This window comes from Homo sapiens, chromosome 8 (assembly GCF_000001405.40).
Source record: "Homo sapiens chromosome 8, GRCh38.p14 Primary Assembly".
In the NCBI taxonomy this organism is placed as follows: domain Eukaryota; kingdom Metazoa; phylum Chordata; class Mammalia; order Primates; family Hominidae; genus Homo; species Homo sapiens.
Genome location: NC_000008.11, coordinates 126,363,025 through 126,373,551, shown reverse-complemented (window position 1 = coordinate 126,373,551; position 10,527 = coordinate 126,363,025). Strand labels below are relative to the sequence as shown.

The 10,527-nt window shown below is 41.2% G+C and overlaps 1 annotated feature.

Moving 5' to 3' along the window:
- Nucleotides 779-1,320: an enhancer, noted in NCBI's record as "OCT4-NANOG-H3K4me1 hESC enhancer chr8:127384477-127385018 (GRCh37/hg19 assembly coordinates)". NCBI's record gives its function as "activates a minimal SCP1, AML or CMV promoter by ChIP-STARR-seq in primed H9 embryonic stem cells {active_cell/tissue: H9 hESC(primed)}" and the evidence as "EXISTENCE:reporter gene assay evidence [ECO:0000049][PMID:30033119]".

Sequence of the window (10,527 nt, the reverse complement as noted above, 5' to 3'; positions counted from 1 at the left end):
AAGTCACCTTCTTCATCTATTTTGCCTGCCCAGTGGCAAGCATACCTAGAAGGTGCTCAGTAAAGAGTTGTGGTGAAATATTATGGATGAAATGATATCATGTCTGAGATTGTCCTTAAAATAGAACAGGAGGAAGGGAGGCGTATAAAGATAGAAATGGGACAAGACTGGAGAACTGTTGAAAGTGTTTGATGGAAGGATGGGAATTCATTGTGTTATTCTATTTTTATGTATATTAGAAATCTTCCATAATAAAAAAGATTAATTAGCAAAAAGGAGGAAAAAAATAGCTGTTGAAAAAAATTAGTAACTCAAAGCTAATACCCTTGCTTTGATTCCCCATTTCTGTATTTCCTTTTCAAAATTTAATTTCACACAGGAGGATCAAGCAGTCAGAAATCTTGAAATTTCTGTGCTTCCCTCCATCCTGAAGCCAAAAATTACACTGCAAGACATGTTTGGAAATTTTCTTTCTTTATGCAACAGGTAGCTATCTTGTTTGAAATGAGAGAGCTGTCATTTTTGAGTCACGTATGAAACTTCTGCTGGGAATTTATGGGTTTTTCTTTTTTTCATATTTGCTCAGAGTCACCCAGCGGTCTTGGAGCATCTCAGTCTGACAATTGATAGAGTCATTTCCAAAGCCACACATTTCCTGATTTGCATTTTCGCTGTCTGCTAAAGATGTGGCCTCTGGAAGGGGCCGTGCCATGCGACTGCAATCTGTCCCCCGTGCTGGCAGCAGGCTGACATATCTGGCCGCAGGACACCCCAGGTACTCCATATTGCCCATCAAGTGTGGGAAATGACCACCTCACATGTCCAAATGGGACTCCGTGTTGTCAAATTCCTGGGCGGCTGTGTGAGTAGGGGTTTTCTTCCACTGTCCTGGAAAATAGCAATCAACTGCTCTGCACTTAGCAGAGGAGGTGTTCAGCAGAGATGGAGGCAAATTCACTGAGCACCTGCTAAGTGGCCAACTGTTCCAAATGCTCCGCATGCATTTCCTTATTGCCTCTTCACAATAGGTTTCCAGGGGGGCATATTTAACACCTGTATTGCAGATAAGCGTTGCTGCTCAGAGAGGTTAGGTAACTTTCTTTCTTTTTAAGTGATGAATGTGGGATTAGAATCCAGGCCTGATTTCAGTGCCTGAATCCTTTCTATAATGATTCCCAGATTTCTAATATCTCAGGGAGAGCAAGGGCTCTCTCCAGCACCCTAGAGGGCAGAGAAAGGGAGAGAAGATGGGGCTTTGTCTCCCCCAACTCAATTCAACCACAGGGGCTTCATTGGAATTACTTCTTCTTAATGACAAGCAATTGCTAAGATTTAGTGCATAACTGAAAGTGCCAGACAGTGTGTGCTTAGCAATTTATATAATCTACGTCATTTAATGCTCATGGCAGACCTAAGAAATGGATGACATCACAATTCCCCATTTATCTAGGAGGAGACTGAGGGACACAGAGGATAAGAAACTTGCCAAAGGTAACACAGTTTGTTTGGCCAGGAATTAACAAGGTGTAGTCTGGCCCTGGAGCCCCATACACTTGATACTACCAGATTTGATTTAAAGCAGCAGCTAGGTTTTATTTATTTGTTTTTTGAGATGAAGTCTCACTCTGTCACCCAGGCTTGAGTGCAGTGGCATGATCTCGGCTCACTGCAACCTCCACCTCCCGTGTTCCAGCAATTCTCCTGTCTCAGCCTCCTGAGTAGCTGGAACTACAGGCGCACGCCACCACAACTGGCTAATTTTTTGTATTTTTAGTAGAGAATGAGTTTCACCATGTTGGCCAGGCTGGTCTCGAACTCCTGACCTCAAGTGAGCCACCTGCCTCCACCTCCCAAAGTGCTGGGATTACAGGCATGAGCCATTGTGCCTGGCTGACAGCTAAGTTTTCACTACTCCACAATACCTCACTCAACAGTCCTTTCTTCTTTCGCTCCCCTCTCTATCCATTCCTCTTTTTCCTTCCCTCCTTCCCTTCTTTCCTGTCTTTCATTCATTCTGTGCCAAACAGGCTCTGACAATATGAACTTGAAACTGAATGAGAGAAAGTTCTTATGCCTAGGAGGCTCTTAGAGTCTGGAAGAAAGTATCATTTATGTGAAGGGAAATGTGAAAGAAGGGCCATGCTACCCAGCCCAGAGGAGATGACATTTCACAATCTGGCACACAAGCCTGCAGGTGACAAAAGTTGTCTTGTCTTGCGATCACCCCCGAGGGGAAGATTTGAGACAGGAGCCTGCTGACCTTCCAATCCCAGTCACTGCTCTTTCCCCACTCCTTGGCATCTCCCCGAGAGTGCTTTTGAAAGGCAACTAACTGAGTTATCAGGGAGACCCTGATGGAGGGAAATTGCTGATGCTCTGGGACACTTTTTTTCATTCATTCACCTTCTCATTCTCTAGTTTGGACTTTTGCTTGGGTTGTGCAAAAACAGCTGCGTTTCCCCCTTATCTTTGTAATAACACAGTCCTCCGAAGGGCAGGCCAGTACTTCGGTCTTCCATTCTTTGCAGTAAATGTCACCGCATGTCACCAGGTATTGTTTTGTTTAGGGCAGCTTCATAATTAATAGAGGCCTCTGCTCTTGTTTAAATGTCTTTTGTTTTGTTTTAATCAGAGCTTTGGGGCATCATCGCAGCCCCCTACATTTTCTCATCTTCTTTCTTTAATGCCCATGTTTAAATCTAGAGAGTTGCCTCTTTTGTTCCTAGCTAGAAAACAATTATTAGAGACAAGGAAGGTAGCAAGAATCACTGGGCTTTCTCAATCTGAAGCTCTCTTGGGTTGTACACCTGTGGCATTGCACTGTGATCAGATCTGCAGCTTATTTAGCACCAGAAGCTTCTGCCACCCAGATCCCTGGGGCAGGATGAAGTTTCCTGGGCAAATAAGGTACCCAGGGTTGATTAGCATTGACTATACCTCTGAGGTGAGATTGGAAAGTGGCCCCTTTGCTCCACAACCCAGGGTTCTGCATTGCAGCCTGGGGGTTTGCTTTGTTGTATTGGCCACATGACTCCTGGGCAGCCTCTGCCTTTCCAGTTCTGCCATCAGAAGGTATCAAGTTCTCCCGAGCCAAATCTAGCTTAACTTGGCATTGTAGACTACTAGATCTTACTAGATCTAGTAAGAGGGAATCTAGAAGACTCCTGCCAATCTGAGCTTGATGTCAGGGATGTCGGGCAGCACATATGGGATCAGAGTTTCTCACACCTTGAGCAGCATGGCCAGCCTGCAGCTCTGGGCTTCTGTTTTCTCTCCCTGAAATTTCTTACTTTCCATGCCTTGCCCTGGTCCTGCCCTGCCAATGTCTGCTCCATTACAGTGGTTTCACCTCCCAGAAGACAGGTTTGCTCCAACCCTCCAATGTCCCTGGCAGTTCTGCACCCCAGAGGGATGAATACCCTTCTCTCCAGGATAACTCATTTCTTAGACAGGAAAAAATTTAATTTCATCTTCTCTAATCTAACTCTTCCTGAAAGATGCGTAGCTGAATCAGAATGATTCCAGGCATTTCCTCTCACTTTCTTAATAGAAAACTGTACCATAAAGACACATGCACGTGAATGTTCATTGCAGCACTATTCACAATAGCAAAGACATGGAATCGAACTAAATGCCCATCAGTGACAAATTGGATTAAAAAATGTGGTACATATACACCATGAAATATAATGAAGCCATAAAAAAGAGCAAGATAATGTCTTTTGTGGGAACATGGAAGGAGCTGGAGGCCATTATCCTTAGCAAACTAAACTAGGAACAGAAAACCAAATACAACATGTCCTCAGCTATGAGTTGGAGCTAAATTATGAGGACTCATGAACACAAAGAGGGGAACAACAGACACTGGGATCTTCTTGAGGGTGGAGGGTGGGAGGAGGAAGAGGAGCAGCAAAGATAACTATTGGATCTGGGCTTAATATCTGGGTGATGAAATAATCTGTACAACAAGCCCCCATGACACAAGTTCACCTATGTAATAAACCTTCATGTGTATCCCCAAATCTAAAATAAAAGTATTTAAAAAAAAAGGAAACTGAACCTATTAGAAAGATGGGTTTCATCACAGCCATTCTTAGCCACTTATTGGCTCTGCTAACTCTCAGCCACGGCTTCTAATTCTAGTGTGAGGCAGAGCCTTCCTGGCCTCTTCTGTCCCCACCTGGGAGGGAAGAAGCTGTTCAGAAATTGACATTGAAATGAAAAGTTAACGTAAGGAAGACAGGGACAGAGCATCTTTTAGGTGGTGTTATAATTGTTGATTCTGTATAGATTCCTATTGAAGCCTGTCTTACTGAAGATAGCTTTATCTTGTTTACCTTCCAACTATCTGCTTTTCCCAGTCAAACAGCAGGCATCCCAACAGAGCTGAGTTACCAAAGGCAGCTGTTTACTTGCCTTCCAGAGGACAGAACAAGGGGAAAGAAAGCTTATGGTCCAACATCAAAGACTGAGGCTTTGTTTACTGAGATAATAAGCTGCTCTCAAGCAGGGACTGAGTAATTTATTTGCCTGAATGTCTCCTCTAAAGCTAGAATAGTGCCCAACGCTTACTAGATGCTCAGTAAGTAGCTTTTAATGGACTCATGCATAAATGTCAGGTACTTTTAATACTATCAGTAACAAGCACTGTTGAGTGACATCCTGTGAATATTAACTAAAAGAACCTAATAGTGTCATTAGGTAGATACTTTTGTTGCCATTTTAATTATAAAGAATCTAAAGAGGTTAAGTAACTTCCTGACCAGCACAAAGTGACAGAATGGTTGAGCAGGTATTTGAACTCTGGTTTGTCTTCATTTCCACATTCTGGTGGGCTTGTTGCACGTCACTGTGACAGCTGCTACATGATGTCACGTAGAGAGCTATGGAAACGCAGAGAGAGTTACTGCTCACTTTGTCAGGTAGAATTAGAGCAGACTTCACAGAGGAATTGTGATTTAAATAGCAAGGTATGTTCTGCACAGTGGAGGACGGGGGGCCATTCCTGTCAGCACATGCAAAGGCATAGCATGGCCAAGGAGAGGCAGGACTGTGCAGCTGGGACATGGGGAAGAGATTCAAAGTCAGGCAGGTAACAGGGTGGAGGAAGATGAATTCAGGGAGGTTGTCTGGAGCCAGAGTGTAGAGGAGACAGGATTCTATCTGATCAGGGCAGCTTCCAGAAAATTCTGTCATAAGCTAGTGATATGGTTTGACTGTATCCTCACCCAAATCTCATCTTGAATTGTGGCTCCCATAATTCCCACGTGTCGTGGGAGGGACCTGGTGGGAGGTAATTGAATCATGGGGGCGGGTTTTTCCCATGCTGTTCTCGTGATAGTGAATAAGTCTCACGATATCTGATGGTTCTATAAAGGGGAGTTCCCCTGCACAAGCCCTCTTGCCTGCTGCCGTGTAAGACATGTTTTCTTCCCCTTCTGCCATGACTGCAAGTTTGCTGAGGCCTCCCCAGCCCGGCAGAACTGAGTCAATTAAACTTCTTTCCTTTATAAATTATCCAGTCTTGGGTATGTCTTTATCAGCAGCATGAGAACAGACTAATACAGCTAGTTTCAGGGCTGGAAACATTCCTTTGTCTTCCCAGAATTTGGCAGTGGTGAAAATCTCCCTGGGAAGCATTCTACTGGAAAGGAGACCTTCACCCCTTTGCCAAGAGTGAAGCACATGTGTGGCTTCTAACAGTGCATGTTATAGAGGAAAGTTTTAGTTAATTTCCCTTAAGGAACTTTAAAAAATGTAACCAACTGGACCCTAGTAAAGTCTTTGGATTTTCTGCTATAAAAATTCCACCTTTGATGTTCTCTTGTTAGTAGCAATGGCTGATCTGTGTAATTTAATGGACCGTTCTCTCATTTCTGCAGATTAAGGGAATACTATGAAGGGACTCTTTGGGATGCAAAGTCATAAACTTGACATTCTTTGTAACAGAACTGTATTTATGGCATGTTGGTGGATAGTGAGGCAATGGTTATGTTAAAGGGACTATCCCTCTGCTTGCTACATTGTCATTTGAATAGATCAACATCACTGTTTGGGATCATCAACCTCTGCTGTACATTTTCAAGCCCAATGGCCATGGTGAGATGTAGAGTTGAGTGCTATGAAATAGAACTTTACTTTGTGGGTAATGTATGTGTCCATAATATGTTAAAGCTAACTTAGAGATCCTCTTGGCCTGACACTCATTTTATAAAGGAAGAAATCAAGGCTCAGAGAGGTGAAGTGGTATGCCCAGGGTCACACAGTAGCCCTGCCCTGTCCAATGCCATAGTCACTCATCATATGTTGCTATTAAGCATTTGAAAGGAAGCTAGTCCAATTTGAATGTCTTTAGGTTTAAAATATACATGGGATTTCATTGACTTAGTATAAATATAAATTAGCTCACTACTTTTTTTTTTATATTGATTGCATGTTGAAAAGATAACATCTTGTATATATTGGGTTAAATAAAATATATATATTCTAACATTATTTTAAAAAATTAGCAAATAATAGTTGTACATATTCACGGGGTACATAGTGTTTTGATACATATAATGTATAGATATATAGTGATCTAATCAGGGTAATTAGCATATCCATCATCTCAAATGTTTATCATTTCTTTGTATTAGGAACATTCAATATCCTCCTTCTAGCTATTTGAAACTATGTAGCATATTATTAACTATAGTCATCCTACAGTGATATAGAACACTAGAATTTGTGATTTTGTATCCTTTAACAAATCTATTTCCATGCCTCCCTAAATAACATATATTATCAACATTAATATCACCTTTTTTTTTTTCATGTAGCTATTAGAAAACTTAAAATGACACATGTGGCTGGTGTTGTGTTTCTCTTTGACAGTGCTCTTTTCAAACTTGGAGTAGAAAACAGCTCTCCTGACTTTGATCTTGACCTGTAGTGGGTGAGCAGGTATCAAGCAGGTTGGGGAAAGGCCAGAGCAAAGCAGGCCAGTTAGGAGGCGACTGCAGCAGATGTGGCCTGGAGGTGGGGTGACGGGGGTGGCGGGGCGGGAGTGGCGGTGGGGGAGGCAGGCATGGGAGCTCAGTGTTTGTCATCTGAACAGGATCCCATTACTCTGTCAGTTGTCCCTCTCCTACCTCCCCACAGCCCTTCCTTTTCTAATTCTCCAGTGCCCTGAAGCTTGTTTCTTCTTTCCATGCTTTGTCCCCTTCACTAATTTGCTCTCTTTCCTCCCCATCTTGTTTGATTTATGACTGATCCTCCAGGCCTCTCTTCAGTTCCTCACCTTCCTTCAACCACCTTCCCCCCTTCTTCCCCACAATGCATTTACGTGGAGAAAAATAATTTCAAAACAACACTTACTTTGAAATAATGAAGAATGACCACTTACTAAAAGCATGAAAACCCTTTTCACTCCTTTCCTTGCAGTATCTGAACCGTAGCTGCCGGAATCTGGATTGTAAAAAAATGCAGAGGAGTTTGTGGAAGGAAAAATTAGTCAGTTTTGGAAAACAGTTTTGAGTATTAAGTGTTATTAAACAGTCTGTGCCACTGCTAGCTCCAGTTCCTTTCTGTAGCTCTTCCAGGCTCGAATTCTCCTAATGTAAAATAGGAATTCTTCATCTGCTCATTCATTCTTCAAAGATTTAGCAGGCATTACAATTTCCCAGGCATGTGTGCTGGGCTCTGGAGATATGATGGTGCTCACAGCAGACATGGTTTCACCACAGATAGAGGAGAAAGATGCAGACAAACAGATCAGGTGTGGCTGGTGGCTTTTGGGTCCCACAGATGTTGGTGGTCTCAGCGGGGCTGGCATTTCACCACCCTGACCAGGATGAAGCTGCTGGTAGAACCAGAACCAACAGAAACCTGGAGTCCCATGGGAGTCCGGACTCTAAATAACTTTATACCACCCAGAGTGTTGATGTCTGTTGCTTACAATCAACTCCCTCTATCCTGTCCTCTTTAATATCAGGGATGAAATCCCATTCAGCCACTGGTCTCCCGACTAAAATCACCTTGTCTGGATTCATCGCTGCAAAAGCACACACTGCATCTCCATATTCCTTACTCCACAGAATGTCCCCACCTGCTCCTCCACGGGATACCACTCCCTGCCACTTGGTAGACCTCTGCAAAGTATCTCAGGACTAGGGGCGGGCACGTGTGGAGGTGAAATTTTTCTTTCCATGACATTGACCATGAATCATTGCTTTTCTTCCTCAATAAAGTTTTCTTTTGAAATTGAGAAATGTGATGCATATTAAGAAAGGTACGGAAAATATATGTGTGATTTAAATAATAAGTGTACCGTGAACTTAGTAAACTATCACGTGGGTCAAAAACTAGACTGTTGCCAGGCTGAAATATATCCTCTGTGCCTTCTGCCAGTCATATACCGCCCATCCTCATGGACAGAACTCAGCATCCTGACCTTTAGAATAAAGGCCTCTCTGCAGTTCCTCACCTTCCTTCAACCACCTTTCCCCCTTCTTCCCCACAGTGCATTTACATAGAGAAAAATAATTTCAAAACAACACTTACTTTGAAATAATGTAGAATGATTTCAATGGTTTGAAAGGGAGGATAATAACGAGGCATCCCTTTGTTTTCTTTATCATTTTATGACTTTTATATGCATCTCAAAATAATATAGATTAAGTTAGCCTTTTTTGAGTGCTGAACAAATGTAATTATATTGTATGTGTCTTTTTATATGTGTCTCAGTATCCTGTTTGGGAGACTCACTCATGTCATTGCCTATTTCTGAGGTTTATTCATTTTTATTACAGGTTGAGTATCTCTTATCCAAACGCTTGGGGCCACAAGCACTTCAGATTTTCGATTTTTTTTCTTTTTTTTTGCAGGGACTGGGGAGGGTTGTAATATTTGTATTATATACTGGTGGAGCATCCCTAATCTGAAAATCCAAAAATCCAAAATGCTCCAATGAGCATGTCCTTTGAGCATTATACCAGCGCTCAAAATGTTTCCGATTTTGGAACACTTCAAGTTTTGGATTTTTCGATTAGGGTTACTCAGTGACTGTAACTTTTCTACTCTCTTGAGAATCTGCCCTCCTGCCTTGACCTGCTGACCTCTGACTGCTTCTGCCTCATGGTCCTCACCTCCATCACAGGCACTACCTCGTCCTAGATGACACTTCACAGTGTTATCCATGATGACAGCCTTTTATTATGAAAAAGTTCAAACATATCCCAACTCTGCCAATTATCAGTTTATGCCAAACGTATCACCCCTATATCCTCATGCAGTCCTTCCCCCAGTCATCTTAACGCAAATCCCAGTGATCATATTATTTCATTTATAAATATCTCATTTTTTTCCAAAAGTTAAGAACTCTTTTTAAAAACACATCTCAATATTACATCATGCATAGAATAAAATTAGAAAAATAGTTTGTTAATCAATTTTGAAAACAAGCTGTGTTAAGATTGTTTTATTATCTTTTTAAAAAATTCTCAGTTTGTTTGAAGCAGGATCAAAATAAGATTCATAAATGCAATGCAATGCTTTGTATTTCCCTTAAGTAGTTTTAATCTATTAATTCCTAAGTGCATGCTCTCTCTTTCTCATTCTTTTCATCTTTATACAATTTTAAACTCTCTTTATCATTATAATTTGTTTCTTAGAGAAACCAGATCATTAGTGTTGAGAGTTCTTCACAATTTGGATTTTTCTGCTACTTAACTTGTTCCCTGTGTTTTCTTTAAATTGGAGGTTGGCTCTAGAGCTTTTTTTTTTTTTTCACAATTCAGCTTGATTTTTGGCAAAAATTTCCCATGTACTTTGTTTTGTACTTTCATCAGCAAGTAAATGTTGTCTGAGATGTTAGCAGCAAATGAAAATCAGTGTCTAGAATGATCCGTCATCCGTCATTGCAGTCTATCACCATTGGTTGCAAAATGGCAACATTCTAATTCTACTATTCCTTCATTTGTCAGCTGAAATGCTTCCATAAAGAAACTTCCCTTCATCAACCCTTTGGTTTCCCTGAAATAAATTCTTACAGGAAAGGGAGAATAAATCTGAGTCTTTTATTATTTTCAGTTTTCAAAATAAATGAGACGGCTCTGTAACATACTCCAAAGGAGAATGAGCAGGTTTTTTCTTTTAGTAACTTCATGAACTCATGGATAAAACATGTTTGAAATCTTTCAATCCATTGTGATTATTCTTATGATGACAAATCACTCCATCTATGACTAGTAGCCATCTTTTAAATGGACTCCCTGAGCTCTTTAGACCTTTCAATACAATCTTATTAGATATTACAGTTTCTTTGGCTTCTAGTATGACATCATATCATATCAGTTCATCTAGAGGGATATTTAAGACATCCATGAGGTTTTCTTTTTCTTTTCTTTATGTTTTTTTAAGTGGGAGACTACATTCTAGGTGCTAAAGATTCTCCTTGCTACTGGGTTGGCTATTATTTCTAAGCCCTTTTATTGGACAGGCAGGAGATAAAAATAAATCATCATAAGTTCACGTAGATATTTATAA